At 36.4% G+C, this 21,197-nt stretch overlaps 1 long non-coding RNA gene across 52 annotated transcripts in view, besides 1 other annotated feature; it reads right to left on the bottom strand.

Annotated features, from left to right (window-relative positions):
* RMST (rhabdomyosarcoma 2 associated transcript) overlaps nt 1–21,197 on the bottom strand; it is a 102,232-nt gene that overhangs the window by 39,372 nt on the left and 41,663 nt on the right. The gene's annotated exons all lie outside the window — the stretch shown is intronic.
* Nucleotides 5,027–5,528: an enhancer, noted in NCBI's record as "NANOG hESC enhancer chr12:97913914-97914415 (GRCh37/hg19 assembly coordinates)". NCBI's record gives its function as "activates a minimal SCP1, AML or CMV promoter by ChIP-STARR-seq in primed H9 embryonic stem cells {active_cell/tissue: H9 hESC(primed)}" and the evidence as "EXISTENCE:reporter gene assay evidence [ECO:0000049][PMID:30033119]".

Genomic DNA, 21,197 nt, shown 5'->3' with positions numbered 1-21,197 from the left:
CTTTATGAGGTATTTGGAGGATATTTCTGAAAAATATACAAGGAGCTGCACACACTGGTTGTGTCAGTAGGGAAACTTGGGTCTGGGGACAGAAGAGGAGAAGAAACTAATCTTCACAGTATATCCTTTGAGGTTGTATAAATTTATGTTATATATGTAGCTCTCCTTTTAAACCAGGAACAAATGTAATAATTTTTAAAAAGAGTCATTATTCCTACTTGAATATGCAGTCTATTCTAGTTCATTTATAAAAACTCTTCCCTTTCCCATGCTAGTGGCCATGATCCACCCGCTAATGCCTACCTAGTTGATCAGCAGTACACACAGCATTGTTTTTCTGCACCATAACATGACCTCACTACCTTTTGCTTCCAATTCACATTTCAATGTTATTTTCAAAACCATTTGTTGATTGAGTTGATTTTTGTCACCCAATAAACATCAAAATGTTGGTATTCCTGCATCTCCTTTCTCAAAGGATGTCTTCCTTTAAAAGGATTTAATTTAGCACACAAGAGACAAACCGCATTTCTATGTTCTCTACAATTCTAAAGCCATTTCAAGTAAGGAGTCCTTTCCCCATGTTACAAATGTACAAATATTTGTCCTCAGAAAAGCAGCTCACTCTCAAGGCATCCTTTAGATGCCAGTAGAATGCCCAGGGCTAAGGGCCTCTAATGGGGCTTAAGATGCCACATGGCACATAATACACAATAAATTGTGATCTGATAGCCTGAACATGTGATATGAGCTTAAAACAGAAGGCTTTCCTTATCTTTTCAAATATGCAAATTGGAGAACACATTGCTCATTACAAATATTATCTAAACAAATTTCAATTGACAACTTCATAGGAAGCTTTCAAGTGTCATAGTTTCTTCCTATTTGAAACAAATAGTCTGTCTTACTTTTAAAAAGTTCAGCTCCCAGTCACAGACTCTACCTTGGGCATACCTGAGGCTAGCCATCAGAATGCTTGTATTTACAAGGGGGTGGTGATCCTAGGCAACCTGTTGCCTCAATTGTCTTGTCTGTAAAAGAGCATAAAACTCAGGAGGTAGATGATAGTTAAACAGATTAGTTGACATATTAGACAAAATGGCTAACACTTGGAAACACCTGATAATGGGTGTTATCCACAGCAGCAGCAGTGTCATTGTCAGCATCATAATTTTAGACACTATTAGGTGGCCAATCACAGCTCTAGGGTATGAACAGTTGCTGGCCCTCTCTACTGGTTAATTTTTCTTTTCTAGAGCAAATGTTATCCATGAAGTGAACATAGGTCTATACAGCAATTGGTAAGACTTATCCTGTATACCAGGACTTCTCTAACTTTAATGATCCTGTATATCACCTGGAGATCTTGCTAAAATGCAGATTTTGATTCAGTAGGTCCGAGATGGAGCCCGACATTCTACATTTCTGCTAAGCTCTCAAATGCTGCTGCTGCTGATGGTGGTTGTGTAATACTAAGGTTATATTCCACCACGGATGTTACAGAAAGAATGACATACTTTGTAAAGAACACAATGGATATTCAACCATACAGTTATGTGATTTTTTTTTTTTTTTTTTTTTTTTTTTTGAGACAGAGTCTCACTCTGTTGCCCAGGCTGGACTGCAGTGGCGCGATCTCGGCTCACTGCAAGCTCCGCCTCCCGGGGTCACGCCATTCTCCCGCTTCAGTCTCCCAAGTAGCTGGGACTACAGGCACGCACCACCATGCCCGGCTAATTTTTGTATTTTTAGTAGAGATGGGGTTTCACCGTGTTAACCAGGATGGTCTGGATCTCCTGACCTCGTGATCCGCCCGCCTCGACCTCCCAAAGTGCTGGGATTGCAGGCATGAGCCACTGCGCCCGGCCAGTTATGTGAATTCTTATCTTCTCTTTCTCATGCTTACCTTGCTGAACAGCACTTAAATATTTCTCAGTCATGAGATAAGATGCAAGCTGTGCGATAGTAGCACAATTAGAATTTCCTCCCTATGCTAACTTCTGGTGGATACAGAGGCAAGAAAAAAAAATTGTATCATTCTTTTTAATTGTTGTTTTAATTCACATGTAATAACTATCATGGAGTACAGTGTGATGTTTTAATACATGTATACATTGTATAATAATCAAATTAGTATTTAGCATATCCATCACCTCATACCTCTGTCATTTCTTTGAGGTGAGAACATTCAAAATCCTCTCTTCTAGCTATTTTGAAATATACAACACAAGGTTGTTAACCAAACAGAACACTTGAACTTATTCCTCCTATCTAACTATAACTTCGTCCCCCTTGACTAATCTCTCCCTATTCCCCACATATTATTAGCAATAAAAACAATGGTCACATTTACAAAGCTGTTTTTAAATGAAAGGCAAAGGTTTTAATCTTCAGATATTTTAAAAGAGCGATAATTATTATTTCCTTTCTTGTCATAACACAAGTATACAGTCATAGTTTATATTCACTCTTCTTGGCCCAACAACCAAATAAGGTATTAACAAAATCCTTTTTCTGTGAACTGTATGCTTCGTTTGTGCAACTAAATGCTCGTGTCTCTTTCTTATACGACTACCTGAAACTAAATGGTTCAATCAGTAACAATATTTTACCTTCAGGAAGCTGATACAGCCTAGCTTCAAACAATTCTGGAAGCATTTACTAAGTTTCCATTATTATTTGCCTATTGCTGTGAGCTAATGCCCTTGATTTTCTGGAGGATAACCCATGAAAAAATAATCAAATTTGGATATGGTAAAATAATCCTCAAAATCCTAAAGCCCATAATCCACGCAAAAGCTTATTAGAGGCTATATGATCTCACTCGATGTTTTGTTTTTTCAGGCTTTTTTGACTGAAATTTATGGTAAGAAAATATTTACCATACAACCAAGTACCACACACACACTTGAAATATATTTGATAAAATATATTCATGAAATAATACCCTTACTAACATGAAATGCATTTGTATTTCTAATCTTTTTATTACCTTTTTAACCTAGGTTATGATCTACTAAGTTGATTTCATGACCCATTAATGGGTTGTTCAAACTTCTGAGTTTAAAAGTAACACGGCCTTGGGCAATTTCTGGAACCCAAGGTTGAGTCTCTGAAATTTTATAGGTATAGGAGATGGTCAAGAAGTGAGGCCACATGTGACCATAAAGCAAAAGGCATGATCAGAGAGCATAAGGGCATTTAATGGCAGTTCATAGCTAGAAACTATATCTCAACCCACACGGCCTATGTGTTTTCTCTCCTACTGTTTCTGAAGAGTAATGTAAGAGAATCACTTTTCACATTTAGGAAGAATCATGGAGGTAAATTTACTCACCCAGTTATTTACTATTAGGAAGTAATAAGAAAGTAAGTTAAGAATGAATATAGGTCAGAATTGATGAATACAAGGAAATGCACATGGAGCAATTTAACATCTTTTAAATGAATTCTCATATAGTAACATGCACTTACCTGGGAGTTATATCAATGGAGCAAATAGACATGTTTTAACAAAGTTGGAACTTTTAGGGACTTATAAATCACAAGAAAGCATGGAAATAAAATGGTGTGTGTTGATCGACTTTATGCAAAAGAGGCCAGATCATAACTTTCACAAGTACAAGTAGCACAAAATCATCATAGACTAAGAGTGTAGACATTTTCATTTCACTTTAATAGAAGAAACACAGCAATCAAGTATGTGAGATAAGAAACTAAAACAAACAAAATCAGGGAATCTAAGTAAAATGCTCACTGAAACCAACTATGTTTCCTTGGCTGGTTTCTAGATGCTTTCTTTCAAATTGAAGTGTTAACTGGGAAAATAAATAAATAAAGTCACATCTCAGTTTGTGGAGAGATAGACAAACTGAATATTGGGGGGTAAAATTATCTTTAGGGGGTTTCAGAGAGGCTCTGCCTAAAGAAGAATTGAGTAACCTTTCACATTTCCTTCCTGCACAGTTATTCTCAGATTCCATATGGGAAGTACAAAAATAGTGATGAAAATCTCCCCAGTTCAGGATTGAGTACTATGCGGGGGCTTGAGAGATACTTTTGAATGAAAGAAAGTTATCTGAATGTTTTTAAAACAGCAGTATTATAGAGTTATGATTAGAAATTAAATTCTTTACATACTTATTTTATATCTCAGTGTAACTAAGGAAAAAATGTATTCTGATATTTCCTAAATGGTTATTAGTATATTATATATACATACATACATATATATGTTGGGATAAAGTAAATGTTTAATAAACTAAAAGGTCATTATCACAATATTCCTCCTCTTGGAGAGAGACTTTTTCATAACTCTCTCAAGGGCTTTTGGCTCTTAGAAAACATCAGTTTTATGCTCAGCTGAAATTATTCTGACAGCTTTGACATTGCGTTATCATCACAAGATCATGGTATACTTAAAGATAAATGAAGATTCATAGAGAGTTAAAAATAATTAATACAAGTCTCCAAAATACCAGATTAGAATATCAAAGGTCACTCATATAAAAGCAGATACTTTCTGGCTCAATTAATCATAACTCTAAATGATTACAGGTGGGTAAGCAAACAATATCCCTTCACTGTTCCCTCAATATTCCTTCTCTCCCACCTCACATAAGAATGTATACATTTCATTTTAAAGATTTGTTTCAAGAAAGATTATATTTTAGCACCCTATGACCTAGAATGGATTCTCCATATGGATTTGTTCTGATTCTAACTGATTTTCTCTGCAACTCAGACTTTCTCACTCCTATCAAACAGAGGAACACTGCCCAGCAGGATTCTTATGTTTCCATGGTAGATTTTTCTGTGTAGGTTGTATGCCTTTTGCTCCAATATGGTCTATTAAAAAGATATTATGCTATCATAAAATTGACTAAATTGCAAAGATTGGCAGTTCCCATTTTTTATGCAAACCTGGCCCTACAAAGCACATACACACTCATAGGAACCTAATTAAATACTCTCAAGTCTGGTAGTCCCTTATAAAGCAAGAGAATTAAAAATCGTTTGGGGGATTTTTCAAGAAAGTTTATCATGCATGCCAAAAAGAAAAATAAAAGGCCAAGATGAAAAGTGGAATTTGTGCCTAGGTTTTATAATGGCAATTTTTATTTGTTTGTATAATTATTAATTATAATTTTAAATTTAATTTAGGAGCACCCACTAAAATAAGAGTATGGAAGACTGCATTAAGAGGAAGGATGAAACAGATGCAATACACAGTTAAGATCAAAGAGCCCCATCAATTCATTCAGAGAGTCAAAAATCCAGCTGAGGCTCAGAGCCCTGTCTGCATAATAAGAAAGGTTGACTAAAACATACGGATTAAACAGATGAGCTGTCTCCTGCAGAGGCATGGGAGGGAAGCCCCACTGCGACACTTGTAAAGACACTTTGGAAGCTCGCACCTGCTCCTCCACAGCCAAACCTACAGGAGACCAGGATGGCCAAAGACGTTCCACTATTGTACTAAATTGTTAGCTTTAAGAGAAAGAAATAGATATGTCTGATGGATATCTTTTTATTTGTCAAGACACTGTCAGTCCAGACAAACAATAAATTAATAAATCACCTCCATTTTTCCAAGGTGACTTTACCAAGCGCTTGAACTTTCAAAATAAGAGAAGTAGATAGTGCAAAATTTCCTGTTCCTTAAAACAGTATTTCAGTGTGCCTACCTCGTGATCAATTATTTTTTCCAAATGAATAATGCTTTTCTTGAGACAATCTTGAATAACATTGGTAAATACATGCTAGTCTTGTTTTCCATTCTCAGAAAATTATCATTTTTAGTAGCATGAAGTGTATTTCAATTTTTATGAACACATTGCCACATTATACTTAAAGCAAAACCAAATTATATAAGCTGGTTCTATAACTATAGTAAGAAGATAGCACAGGCACTTAGGATTCTGTGCCTGTGAGAAATGTTGTATTTATTCTAATGACCTCACAAAAAAGTTATGTTGTAGCTACTGATAAGAACCGATTCTGAACATCTAAACAATTTTCTTTTAAGAAAGCTGAACTACTTTCAAAGAGCTAAGCAAGCTAGGCCTTTGGGAACATAGATCTACTGGGGAAAAAATTATACGATTGTGGAACATTAAATTTCAAATAAAATTTTAAAACTCTAACTTTGGTATGGATAAAATTTGTCACGCACTTGATGTAGACTGATTCAAATATGCAATTAATAAACTCGAACAAATGGTAAGCATTAGCTTTTGTTGTAGTCACCAAAACAAGCAATATCCAATTTGAAGAGATAGCAATGAAATCTCCCTGGAGTAAAACAAGCCACCAAATGTCAAGAAGTGATTTCCTGGGATTGACGTACAGACTCTGACCTGCTCCTTCATAGTCTAATTACATTATCACTCAGTCAACCAACCAACACACTTTTACAGTGTTCATTATGTATAAGGGACTGTCAGAGACAAAGAGAAGAATTATACATGAGCTGTAAGTAACAGTACTAAACCCTAAGTACCAAATGTGTGATGAAGATGTACAATGCAGAAGTTGACCATTGAGGGATAAAGATATAGAATTCTTCATTGAAGAGGTGAGATTTGGTTGGGTGCAGTGGTTCGTGCCTGTAATCCCGACACTTTGGGAGGCCAAGGCAGGACAATAGCTTGAGGCCAGAAGCTCAAGACCAGCCTGGGCAATATAGTGAGACCTCATCTCTATAAAAACATTTTTTTTTTTTTAATTAGCTGAACATGGTGGCAGGTGCCTGTAGTCTCAGCTACTCTGGAAGCTGAGGCAGGAGGATCCTTGAGCCCAGAGTTTGAGAATGCAGTGAGCCATGATTGCACCACTGCACTCCAGCCTGGACAACAAACAGAACGAGACCTTTTTTCTAAAAAATGCAAAAGGTTGGATTTGACTTAGGACTTGATAAGGTAAAGACAGAAGTAGAGAGGAGGGAATTGGTTTTCCAGGAGGAAAGAACAGAGACAGAATAACCTAGAATCCAGTCTGAGAGAACTTGAGAGGGAATGTGTGATTCAGTCTGTCTCAAGATAGTCTTGAGAATCGCCTAACATTCTTATTGAAAACTCAGGTTATCAGACCCATTCCAGACACTGAGAATTAGAATCTTCAGAGATGAGACCTGGAAATTGCATTTTTGAACAAGGTCACAAATTATGATATTATTGTTAATCTCTATGAGGCAGTGAGAAACCTTTAAAGCATTTTGGGAGAAGTGAACTAAAGGATATAGTTAAAGGACTTTAAGAAGGGAGGGTTGAGAGAGCAGGAAGAAACTGTGGGCAAGAAGTTCAAATCAGAATTTTTAAATTTTAACCAAAGTGTATGGTAATAATATTCATCTTTGCTCCAAATAAATATCAATAGTTTCAGTTCTCTTAAAAACAGAAGTCCTTAATCCCAAATCTCATCAGATTTTTCTATGTATCAGTATTCCAATTTATTTTTTAAGAATGACTTAAATTGAACTAATTTCAATAAAACATTTCTATTTAAAAAAAACTTTTAAAAAGTGCTCTACTTTATCTCTGATAACTCTACTTCAAGTATCCATTTTCAGAAGGTCTTACTCAATTCTAACCATTCAGAGAAATAAAAATAAGTTTGGATAATTATTAGAAAAATTAATAAATCATCCATAAATACTGAAATATTTGTCAAAAATTAAGAGACTAAGTAATATTCAGTGCTGGTGAAGGTCCTGTGAAGAGGACAATTGATACTTATTTATGGGAGTTGAAACTGATACACCATTTCAAGGAACCACTGGTAATACGTAAGAAAAATTTTAATGCACATATTCCTTAACAATAAAAAAGTGACTATAGTCTAGCTTAGAAAAGTAACTACAGAAGCCCATGATGATAAATAGAAGGATCACACAGAGACACATACACAGATGTTCATATAATTATTAATTTACAGAAAAAAAGTGTGAGACAATTTACAAGAACATCAGCAAAGGCATAGTTACATCAAAGTGCATGTGTAGTATGGAAAACTATGCAGTTATGATCTCAAATTCTGAAAAACCTGTTATTGTGGGATAATGCTCAAGATGATTGATTTGAACAAGCAAATTATAGAAAAATACATATAGAATAATCCAATTTTTAATGAAAAAAGCAGTGTTTCTATGTGTATATATATATGTTTTTCTTTCTTTAAAGAAAAACCTTAACTGGCAGATCTGGAGAATGGAAAAAGAAGTGAAGATAGGGCTTTCCCCTTTTGATTTACATGTCTGTATCACTCAGATTTTTTAACAATGAGTAAAACTCTTCTATAACTTAATAAACTTAAAATTTTAACTTATATAATATTTGAAAAATATATTAAATGCTTGCCCAAGATTTTAAATAACTTGGGAAAATAGTGCCACTTGAAGATGGTGTGAAGGAGAAGCTGGCTTCCTTTCTGTTTGATTAATTCTCAAAATTAAGTGAAATTACGGTCTTTAAAAACCATTCAGAAAAGTGAATGATGTATGTATTGACTTTTATGTTACAAAAAGCTTTCCATTTTTATTCATCTATCAATCTTTCCATCTGATAAGAGGAGAGTTTATAATATCTAATCTTTAAAGAGTAGAGTCTGAAATAAATACATACACATAATACTAGAACTTATAGGCTAAATTATGTAATTATGATACTTGATCATTCATTAGATACCTTTCATAAGACTATACAACTCATAATAATACTATTAGGTATTTACTTCCCATAGAATATTGTAAATGTTAGGTATTTACTTCCCATACAATATTGTAGCTTGCAATATGCAGGAAGTAATTTTACAGCAATTCATTTTCAAAATGATGCCCAATAGATGCTCTTTAAATTACTAATTTTATGTAATATAAAGATGGATTTTTTTTCTATAGCCTATATAGCAATTTCTAAAGCAATTAACACAAAACTAACATAAATCTTTTGAGTCAGAAAAGTTCTTTGAACTTTCAAACACCATAGAAAGAACATAACTTCATCATGAATTTCTCTATATAATTAGGAAGATTTATGTATTTTTAGGGTTTACTTGTGAATTTTTCAGCAATTTGTTGTAATCTACCTTCACTCCTAATTGTAAGAAATATGAAGAAAAAAGTAAATTTTAATTTTATAAATTATAAAGATATATTCAATGTACATTGAATCAAGTTTTCAAATATTTAATAGCACCACTGATATACATGTATCCCTTGCTGGCTGTGTATGTTACAGGGAAATGAACAGTTTTGCCAAACCTATTCAGATAGGAAATGATGAATAAGTTATGTACTGCAGGGTTTTACAAAATGTGACGGCAATTAGCACACCCTACACCTGTTGTTTTATTTACGTTACTTTCAAAGCCATGGTTTACAAACTGAGCCATGGTTTACAATATGAGCAAGCATTAGGTTCTTGAGCAAAACTATTCCTTCCATAATGTAAAATTACAATTCCAATAAAAGGAAAAAATAATATAAAGGATTTCTCAAGATATATGATAAAAAGAAATAGTCAACTACTGTTGACATAGTTTCTGTATCATACATCTCTAAAAACTGGAGATTCATCATAGGAATGACCTATGATTTTTAGAAACTCTTTGAATACAAAGTTGTAGTTAGATGATACAGAGAGCATCTAGGAAAGACCAAAAAGAAAAAATTACCAACAAAGAGTTTATAGAAGAGACAAAATATATACATGTGAAACAATTGGAAAATATTTTAAAATAATAGCACAATCATAGATTAAAAATATCCACAGTAAGTTCTCTGGTGTTTCTCAAATCCTCAGGCATGGTCATTTTTCTTCATAACCATGCCAAATACATAAACATATATTTTCAGAAGCTATTTAAATATTATTCAGCTTCATCAATGCTCATTTTTTTATTCTTACCCCACCCCTGGGACTTATCACCCTATAACAATGTAAAAATTACAAATATTAGAGATAAAATACATAAGTTCTATGGCACAAATTAGTAGCTCAACAAACATTGATTGCTATGATGATTTTTATTTATTTTCCCTATTGGGAAAACATGTTTATTCACTTAATTATTATTGAGCTCCTACTGTGTGTTTGATACTATGTTTGGTACAATGCTAAGGTGATGGGGATGAAAGATGAAGAAATTGGCAAGGTCCCTGAACAGACATGAACTGGTTTCCTTGTTTTAAAGATTTTTCAGAGAAAGTAATTCTGTACTTTAGCCATGCATTGTCTTCCAGGTCTGCCACAACTTACTTCAACATTTTAAATACCTCCCTTTTTTCTTATTTCTATTCTCTAAAAACATACATTCAGACTATAATAGATGTGCAGATTTTTTGTTTTTTGATTTTTAATAATGCCTTTTAGGTGATAAGGAAAGTGATACTGAGAAGCAAGGAAGAATAATAAAGCACATGAATATTTGGTTTAGTTTAGGCCTAACTATGAAAAGTTAAGAGTGTAAAGGAAACTAGTGAAATTTTAGAGCATAAATCATATCAGAAACATAAACTGCTCCCCATAGGCTTCTTAATAGTTCAAATTTAGTTTTCATTGATCATGATTTACTCTTTTCCTAACTTAATTGAAAAATGTCTTTCAATATAATTACTATCACGCAGTATGCTTAGGTAAGCCAGAGATCAATATCATAGCTTTAGCTTTGAAAACAGTGAGTATTAACTTTTTAAAAGGTTTCACACACAAAAAAAGGTTTCACAAAACCAGCACCTCCAAAGTACTGAAATTGGTCTTAATTCTTGACAGTGTTTGTGTAGCAGCAGAACTTTTCATTTTTCTCTAAATACTTCTATTTCATCAGCAACAGATGAATTCATTAACTTCATTATTAATTCAAATGATTTTTTTCCCTTTTATAAGTCCCAAGGTTGTCTCACTAAGATCAGCTCTTACTCTGTGTTCCATAAAATGTAATCAATCTCTATTATTGTCATGAAAATGGTATTTGTCACTTTGCTAAGAAAAAAAAAAAACAATATACTTTCCAAGAATGAACAGGCATTTAATGCAATGAATTGTTAGCTAAATTTAGCTTGTCAACAGTTCAGAATGAACTAATCGAAATCCAGAAAATTTAAAGAAGATTGGCCAATGAAATATATAGATATAGATATGGCATAGAAATTAATATTTGGGCATTAGAATAACCTGTCATTTTCAATCCTGGCTAAAAATTGGGGGGATTTAAACAGGCAAATCTCCAATCACTATTTTGGAAAACAAAAGTGAAATCCATATGCTCAGAAAACATTTCTTGAACATGGTTGACAAGTAAGAAAAGCTTCATTGTCATTTCCTATAGAATTTTCCAGGTACAGAGATAATTATAGAGTTGCAAAATTCTAGGAAACCTTAAAGGTCAGAAACCCATAAGGATGTTGTCATCTGGAAATATGTTGCCTCTGAGCTTTCGTAGGCTATGAATTATTGCAGTAATTAACTACAGAGCAAGAATGGTGTTTCAGAGTCATAGAATCCAAAGCACACTTTGCCAGTCTCTTACCAAGACTTGACTCTTGCCCCTGTACTTCCAGTTTCTGCTGAGTTACCTTCTGCAAAGAGAAAGCTGGTGACCTCTTGCTCCTTGACAACCTCTTATTTAAGAATAACCCTTATAATTGGAAAGTTCTGTCTTGAGCTAACATCTACCTCATAAAAAACTGCCACTGTTTGCTTCCAGTCCTACAGTGGAACAAAGTAAACTCCATCTGTTGCCTTTCCTTTGAGGCAGCTCTTCACTGCTTGAGGTCAGCTATCATTTCTCCTGACCCTTTTCTTTTCTGGACATAACCTATACAGTTCCTTCACCCATTTCCCATAGCACACCATTTACCATAGCACATGGTCTTCAGAAAAATTCATGGCATTATCTTCCCAAGACACTCCAATTGATCCATACCCCTTTTGATTTGCATCACCAAAAATAAACATAAGAATATGGGTGTGTTTAAAATAAAAATAAAACTCATTGCAGTTCTAATTTACTGTAGTTGGAAACTGCGTCTATATAGGTAATATAAGAGCTAATTCCCTCTTTCTCTTTCACAACAGCTTCATCAGATTTGTTTAGGGTTAAATTTACAGGTTAACACTAGAATAGAAGCTCTATGAAGGCAGAAGCTCTGGTCTGTTTTGTTGACTCTCCCTCTCCATCTTCAACATCGAGCACATAGTAGGCACTCTACTCAATAAATATTTAGAAATGAGTGTAGGAATAAATCAGTCCATTAAAGCTGCTGGATCTTTGCGTATTTGTATTTTTGACAAGCCAGAGCCCTTCCATTCTCTATTCATGAAACTGATTTTTAAAATACAAAAACCATATAGGGCTTTGTAACTGAGAGGTGACAGCATGCTGGCAGTCCTCACAGCCCTCGCTTGCTCTCGGCACCTCCTCTGCCTGGGCTCCCACTTTGGTGGCACTTGAGGAGCCCTTCAGCCTGCCACTGCACTGTGGGAGCCCCTTTCTGGGCTGGCCAAGGCCAGAGCCGGCCCCCTCAGCTTGCAGGGAGGTGTGGAGGGAGAGGCGCAGGTGGGAACCCGGGCTGCGCGCGGTGCTTGCGGGCCTGCGCGAGTTCCGGGTGGGCGTGGGCTCGGCGGACCCCGCAGTTGGAGCGGCCGGCCGGCAGGCCCCAGGCAGTGAGGGGCTTAGCACCTGGGCTAGCAGCTGCTGTGCTCAATTTCTCACCTGGCCTTAGCTGCCTTCCCGCTGGGCAGGGCTCCCGACCTGCAGCCTGCCATGCCTGAGCCTCCCCCTCGCCTCCGTGGGCTCCTGTGCAGCCCGGAGCCTCCCCGACACGCCGCCCCCTGCTCCACTGCGCCCAGTCCCATCGACCACCCAAGGGCTAAGGAGTGCAGGCGCAGGGCGCGGGATTGGCAGGCAGCTCCACCTGCAGCCCCGGTGCGGGATCCACTGGGTAAAGCCCGCTGGGCTCCTGAGTCTGGTGGGGATGTGGAGACCCTTTATGTCTAGCTAAGGGATTGTAAATACACCAATGGGCACTCTGTATCTAGCTCAAGGTTTGTAAACACACCAATCAGCACCCTGTGCCTAGCCCAGGGTTTGTGAATGCACCAATCAACACTCTGTATCTAGCTAATCTGGTGGGGACGTGGAGAACCTTTGTGTCTAGCTCAGGGATTGTAAACGCACCAATCAGTGCCCTGTCAAAACAGACCACTTGGCTCTACCAATCAGCAGGATGTGGGTGGGGCCAGATAAGAGAATAAAAGCAGGCTGCCGGAGCCAGCAGTGTTAACCGGCTCGGGTCCCCTTACACGCTGTGGAAGCTTTGTTCTTTCTCTCTTTGCAATAAATCTTGCTGCTGCTCACTCTTTGGGTCCCCACTGCCTTTATGAGCTGTAACACCACAAAGGTCTGCAGCTTCACTCCTGAAGCCAGCGGGACCATGAACCCACCGGGAGGAACGCCAGACGCGCCACCTTAAGAGCTGTAACACTCGCTGCGAAAGTCTGCAGCTTCACTCCTGAGCCAGCGAGACCACGAATCCGCCAGACTCGGCCAGACAGAAGAAACTCTGAACACATCCGAACGCCAGAAGGAAGAAACTCCGAACACATCTGAACATCAGAAGGAACAAACTCTGGACACGCCACCTTTAAGAACTGTAACACTCACTGCGAGGGTCCGCGGCTTCATTCTTGAAGTGAGACTAAGAACTCACCAATTCCGGACACATAACTATTGAATATTGTCTTGTTGATTTAGATTGTTTCCAATAGCTAAAACTATACCAACAGGTATACACATGAAGGTGTATGTATAAAAGGTGCTATAAAGTAATGGCCCTAGTTAGCCTATGAGACTTAATGGACTCAGTCATTTTGCCATTTTCATACCCCCTAGTTTCAACTACAAAGTAAACATCTCTCTGTAGATCAATCATTCCATTTTTAATGCTGCTGTAATTAGTTATTTCATTTACTCTTCAAAATAGTACTTACTTCCTACATGAGGCAACTGAGGCATAGTAAGATTAATAACTTGCTGTGGGTCACACCAAAAGTAAATTCCAGGGCCAGGATTCAAAATCAGATACTTCAGAATTCAAATCCTATATTCCTTTCACTACCTTATGCAGTTCTTTTTAGAAAATTGAAAGAGAATATGAAAGGAAAAAATAGCAAGAAATTTCTAAAGAGAAACTCTCTAGGGTAATTTGTATTTGCTCTAATAAAGAGAAGTACAGGCCACAGTGGCTCATGCACTTTGGGAGGCCGAGGCAGGTGGATCACTTGTGGTCAGGAGTTCAAGACCAACCTGGCCAACATGGTGAAACCCCGTGTCTACTAAAAATACAAAAATCAGCAGCATGTAGTGGCACGTGCCTGTAGTCCCAGCTACTTGGGAGGCTGAGGCAAGAGAATCACTTGAACCCAGGAGACGGAGGTTGCAGTGAGCAGAGATTGTGCCAGTGCACTCCAGCCTGGGCGACAGAGCGAGACGCCATCTCAAAAAAAAAAAAAAAAGAAGGAAGTACAATTTCCCAGAGAGTTTATTATAATTGCCCACTAAACATTTTCCCTGAAGTAATTTCCCTCCTCTGCTCCAGTCTCAAACAAAAATAATAACACAAATTTCAACTTCGAAATTTAAGTCAAATTTTGGATTTTCGTAACTGTGGCTGCAGAAATTGATGAAGTGAAAAACAATAAAAAGATCCCAGAGAGGAGAAACAAGATCCCAATTATGGACTCCATGTGAATAAATTGTGTTTGCACAATGACAAATCAACTACTCAGTTCAACTTAAAAAAAAAAAGTGACTGGAAAATAACATTCAGCCTATCGACTTTATTGGTGGGAATGGGTCAAAATAGACTGGTGATTAATTGAATTGTTTTAAATTTTTGACTATTTTGGTGGATGTCACATAGAGTGAACATGCAAGACAAATGCTGTTTCACCTACTGGGCTTCAGGAAGTAACCAAGAAGTAACTCCCTATGTGATCAAAGATTATGGCAACTTTGACTAATGAATTGAAGAATTTGGCAATTTGGTGAAAACATTCCTTTCAAATAGAATAACTAAGATTCTACTGTGAGGAACTGGATAATCACCTCTTTGAATAATAGCATTATGAACACACACTGTACCAATTTTTTAAACTATCATGAAAATTTACTTTCGTATTAAATAAGAGCACGTAATGGTCCATCTTCATTTGTAGCAAAGCTGTGGATGCTCAATTCATTTTATTACTTGCTCAATTACAAAATAAATAAGTGACTCATGGAAATCACTTATTAGATCTAACAATGAAAACCAAAGATCTTATTTTCTCTGTGGGCTTAATCTGCCCCTCTGGTTTTTATGAATAGGATTTTTCTATGCCTCTATCTATTGTTGGCACCTCAGAAAACGCTTCTTAGAGAAATTTAACTGTAACTTTCTCTAAAATCCTACATTTGCTTCATTTCTAAGGTCACAGAACAAACCAAGTTAATTAAATGTATTTCTTTGAATGAAACATAGCAGATACTTACTATGTCTTCCATAAATGCTTCCTCTCTTATAAATCTCAGAGTATAAATGAGTGTACATGTATATTAATCTATTAGCTAATAATTAACTTATCCAGCAGTCTTTTATTGACCACCCTCTATGTGTCAAACATTGTGCTAGACCATTGAGATTTGAGGAAATAAGGCAAAATTATTTTCCCCAGGTAGCTATAGTCTAGTGGGGAAGTCATAAAAATGAGCATAAAATTTTAACACAGTGAAATAAAAATAGTACTGCAGAGTATTGGGTTCCCTGATGTCACCATCACCCAAAAAAATGCCTATCACACAACAGACATTCAATATATATTTGTTGACTGGCTGTATAATTGAACAAGTTACATTTGCACCAGGAAAACAGAGGGGCACCTCCATCAATCCAGGGCTCCTGTACTGGGGACTGGAGTGAGAGATAAGGAGGTGATGTTTGATCTTACTCGTATTTGTCTCCAGAATATTCTGACTTTATTCAGTATGAGAGGGGAGGAGAAGGGTCAGGGGAGGGAGAGAGATGGGGAAAGAGAGAGAAGGAGAGAATGTAGAACTCACTTAGTTGTCCACCTAAGGGAATTTTATTATAAGGTGACTTCCCCTACAAGGCAGGCTGTTTGTCTCAACCTCAGAGGAAAGAGGTTCTTTTTATGCTAATTACAGTGAGGCCCTAAAATATAAAGTGATGTATTTGGACTTAAGTGGCTGAGGGCAGAACCTGGCCTGCAATTCAGTATATAGTCCACTATGCCGTATCCCATATAACGAATTAATGAAAAAGCTTTTTATACTTGAAGGCAGACTTCAACAAATTTCAATAACAGTAAATTATAGGTTTGACTTAAGACATCAACAGATCAGAGGAACTCAAGTATCAGCTGTATGCCTATGGTGAAATCTTTATAAATAAATTGATAATGCTCCCTTTCTAAAGGTCAATCTTTTATTATTCCATACTAACTAGAATGCAAGGGAGAAGGAAAGTGGTAACACAGCTGTTGAAACAAAGTAACAACGGTCTCCTGGTTAAAATCCTAGTCAAAGGATGAACTTTCCGAGAATTCATTTTACCATAAAACCTCAAGAAAATTAGCCAGTGAGTCTAGGTTTCCTCCATTTATGCTGTCTTCAGCAATGATGAATCTGGTAAAAAGAGAAGCTGATTTCTGTCTAAATATTTGTCTTCTTTTAAAGCTGCCTCAGAATAAATTAAGCCTTTCTGCCTAAACCTCCACGATTGTAGTAAAAAGCAGAAGCAATGTTGTAATTCTTGACCGTCTAGTTTCTACCCCACTACGTTACTACTTTCAGACATTTATATTTTGGCCTCCTGTCCTTCTGTTAAACTCCTGAATTAATCTCCTACTCTGGGTAAATTAATCAATAGATTTCCTCTACTGCTCTGAAGCTACTCAATGATGCTAAAAAAGAAATCAAAAACAAAAAAAACACAACAACAACAAAAAAGTTACACCCTGGGCAGACTGATGCCAGTATAAGGGGATGGTTTCCAGTCTTAACTTAGCATCTCACTGCTTCTCAGAAATCCCTTCACTTGCATCTTCTCAGCTTCCTGTCCTAGTCTTCAAACCAGCTATTACAAATCTCTACAATTCTCCTTTTGTCCACTCTCAGCTGACCACCTTTCTTCCTCCTTCTGAAAGAATAAAGGACCCCAGGAGGAGGAAATCTCATTTTACCAGTTGACAATCATGCTTAGCTTCTTTCCTCTAATCTTGGAGGAGGGAGGTATACATTTTTCTCTCCACAGCACTGGCTTGCACTCTCTTCCACCTCCCCCAGGAGTTGTTTCATTAGTGTTTCTCTTCTTTTCTTTTCTTTCATTATAAACATCTTTCCCTTCTAATGTGCTCAACTCTCTCACTTTCTCGAAAGCCTTACTTTGGTCATACTACTTCTTATAGATAACATTTTATTTCCCTTCTTACCATTGCTGACTCTGAACTTCCTCAAGTCGTATTAATTCATCCATTATACTATAACTTATATTCCCACTAATTCACTCTCTCTGAGGTAATCATAAACATTTTTTCCAACAAAAGTCTGATACTACTCCACCCTGTCTTTATGCTACTTGGCCACTTTGTGAAATTTGATACCACTGAGTTTCTTCTGCTCAAGACCATTTTTGCCTTCGTTTCCATAGGGCTACTCTGGTCTGAGTGTCTCTCGCTTCCTTGTGTCTACTTTGACAGACTCTTCCATTCTATACTTTCTTTTAATGTGAGCTGGCTTGCCAAGTGCCCAGCTGCAGTGTTCTTCCATGCTTTCATTCATTCTCCCAGGTTAGATGTTGAGAAAAAAGAGGTTCTACAGCCTCACAAATACTACCTCCTCCATTCAACACTCATCTGTCTCAAGACATACAAAATAAGAATGAAACACTCACAACATTTTGAGTTCCATGTTCATATTACTAACCTCTGGAGATCTCCACCAGGATTTCTTAGAGGCATTTTAAACAATATTTATCTCCCTCTCCAGCCCCATTAAATTGGCCTACTTCTGGTATAAGTCATAGTGGCACGACCATCCACTGTGGTATTTTCAACCAGAACATTCACTGCCATCATTAACTTCTCCCTCTCTCTGCTCCATCTCATTCAACTGGCCACTAACATCTGCAGATACTAACTCAAAAATGTTTATTGAATCTAGTCTGTCTTCCTCATTCTTATTACTATGCCTAAAATTACCTCATTATTTTGGAGGCTGGAAAATAATGAAATCTTTCTAACAATTCCTGTCTTCTTTCTCCACATGCCAGTATGCATATTTGTCTATGGTTGGCAGAGTTAGCCATCTTTTTTTTTTTAAAAAAAAAAAGACAAAAACAAAAAAAAAACAATAACAACCCAGCATTTCAAATCACAAAGCTGTTTAAAAAGCAGACATGTAATCATATACCTTGGTCAGCTATTCCCTACAGAATTAAAAATCCAGATGTCTTTGCTTTATATTCAGTCCATCACCACCTGGTCTCATCACATCTTTCTAACTCCTTGTTTACCTCCTTTTCCTCACATACATGTACACTCAGAGCTCCATCATATTGAAATTCCCAACATAACTGTGGCATACTTTTGCAGGTGTTATCTTCTCCGCTTAGAATGATTCCTCTGGCCGGGCGCAGTGGCTCATGCCTATAATCCCAGCACTTTGGGAGGCTGAGGTAGGCGGATCATGAGGTCAGGAGTTCAAGACCAGCCTGGCCAACATAGTTAAACCCCGTCTCTACTAAAAATATAAAAATTAGCCGGGAGTGGTGGTGCGTGCCTGTAATCCCAGCTACTCAGGAGGCTGAGGCAGGAGAATTGCTTGAACCCAGGAGGCAGAGGTTGCAGTGAGCGGAGATTGCGCCATTGCACTCCACCCTGGGTGACAGAGCAAGACTACATCTCCAAAAAAAAAAAAAAAAAAAAAAAAACAGATTACCCTAATGTCTTCAATCCGCATGCTTCAGCAATCAGCTTAAATGTCATCTTTTTTAGGTGACACATTTCCCAGTTACCACATAGGGATTTTCTGACACTAAATTTTCTCTACTTTGTCTGGCAATTTATTGATTTTTCCTCTCATCCCAACTTGACGATGTCCTAAAAGACAGATAATTTATCTCATTCATCTCTATCTTTGAGCCTAGCACAGTGCCTGGAAGATAAGAGGTTATCAGTTCATATTGACAAATATTTTTGATAAATAAGTATTTTATATTAATCGCTGAAAAATAATTATGGAATTTCACATAGGGAAAGAGGCTCACCATTATTTTGATTTCAATATGTCTCTCATGTTAAATACAGATTAGTTTTATGAATTAGATAAATCAGTCATAAAAGAAATAGGGTTTTGAGCTGTTCTATAAAGTTTTAATTATGTTATAAATTTGGACATTTGAAAAGATAGTTTGATGCTAATAAACGCCTTTTAATTGTACTGTAATATAAAATCTAATGTGGTCACGAATGTTTATATTTTTCAATCTACCTACCTGGTTTATATATTAAAAGTGTAATGTATCATTACATGTACTTACAATAGTTATAATGGCTACTTTTATTAAAATATGTGGGTTTTTAGAATAATTAATTGACCTCATTTATACAGAAGTCAATATTAATATTTTAAATGTTCACACCTGCATGTATTACATTTATTGTATATTCATCCTCTTGGCAATGTATAAGATAATAAACTGGTTTTCAGGTACTAAGATCTAACCATACTTTCTTTCCATCCATCTGAAAATGTACAAATTGAAATCTTGAATTTTTTTGGTAACAAGGATTTTATAAGTAGACATCTTAAATTCATTTTAAGCACCTTGTCATGGCAGTGATATCAAAACTTAAACCCAGCTCTAAAATTCTCTCTGGATTATATTGAAAGCTCTAGAAACATAAAAAATAAAAGTGATCTTAGTAAAACAGAAGCCACCTGTGTACCATCCACACCATTATTAATATGCAATAGCAAATATGTGCGTTTTGTAAGTTAATGGATAAGAATGACTGAAGTTAGTAAAACATGTAATGCATAGCTTTGCCACCATTTATATTTACGGTTTGCATGAAAGAAACCACTTGTGATTCACAGTGAGAATTCATTACTGCAGAACACAAATGTTACTGAGTTTTCACTGTAAACCTGTTCAGTCTTTGTTGTCAGAACCAAGCATCTGCTAGTGTGCTACCATGCAAGAGATCTAAACATAGCCCTATGCTGCTGTCAATTTTTGCTTAAAGTTTTGTCAAAACCCAAATACTTTTCAAGCAGCCACTTATTTGACGAGACTGGCATTCATCACTGATTGCCGAGACTTTCTTAAATCAGAACTGTTTTGATGCTCATTTGTGATTCTGTAAGCATAGTGAGTTAACTATTAATATATTTCTAATTGCTCTTGCAAGTGCCTTAAGAAAAACCATTATATTGATTTTGCTTTAGACACTGCTGAATAATTTGCATGTCAGACACTAAATTTCACTTATTTCAAAGTATAAATCCCAGAGAGAAAATAAGAATCAAATATTTTTCAATTAAAATCTTTCATAAGCCATGACTAGCAAAGTGAAATAAAAGTGAACATAACATGAAGATTAAAATGAGAGACTCTCTAACAGGGGCGACCAAGGTTTCCAGGAAGATAATCCTTTTTATATTACTTTCTTTACCATTTCCTTCTCTCATCAGAGAGAGAAAGTCCAAGAGTCATTTTCTATGTGTCCAAAGGCTAGAACTCAGTAGAGCAATGCATAAAGAGAACTCACTCATTTTCCCTATCCTCCTATCCTGGATATAAAACAAATTGAAGTCTGAAACCATATGCATTAGGATAGCCAAGGTATAGTGAAAACAAATATTTAAAATAAATGTAAGTGACCCCTTCAGGCAAATCTAATTTTTCTAAGGACTCCTTTTTTCTTCATGTTCACAAAAATAAATACAATTCTCAGAATCCCTCTTTATTGGTAATACAAAAGCCAAAAAGTAAAAGGTAAGGTTTTATGATATCATACTCTTTACACATGTAGATCATTGAGCTAATAATGCTTTTAAGGCAATATTATAATATTATGATGAAAATACTGACATAAAATAAGAAACGTATTTTAGGAAACCTAGTATTTAAGATT

Source organism: Homo sapiens, chromosome 12 (genome assembly GCF_000001405.40).
Source record: "Homo sapiens chromosome 12, GRCh38.p14 Primary Assembly".
NCBI lineage: Eukaryota > Metazoa > Chordata > Mammalia > Primates > Hominidae > Homo > Homo sapiens.
This window is presented reverse-complemented; position numbering and strand designations above follow the sequence as displayed.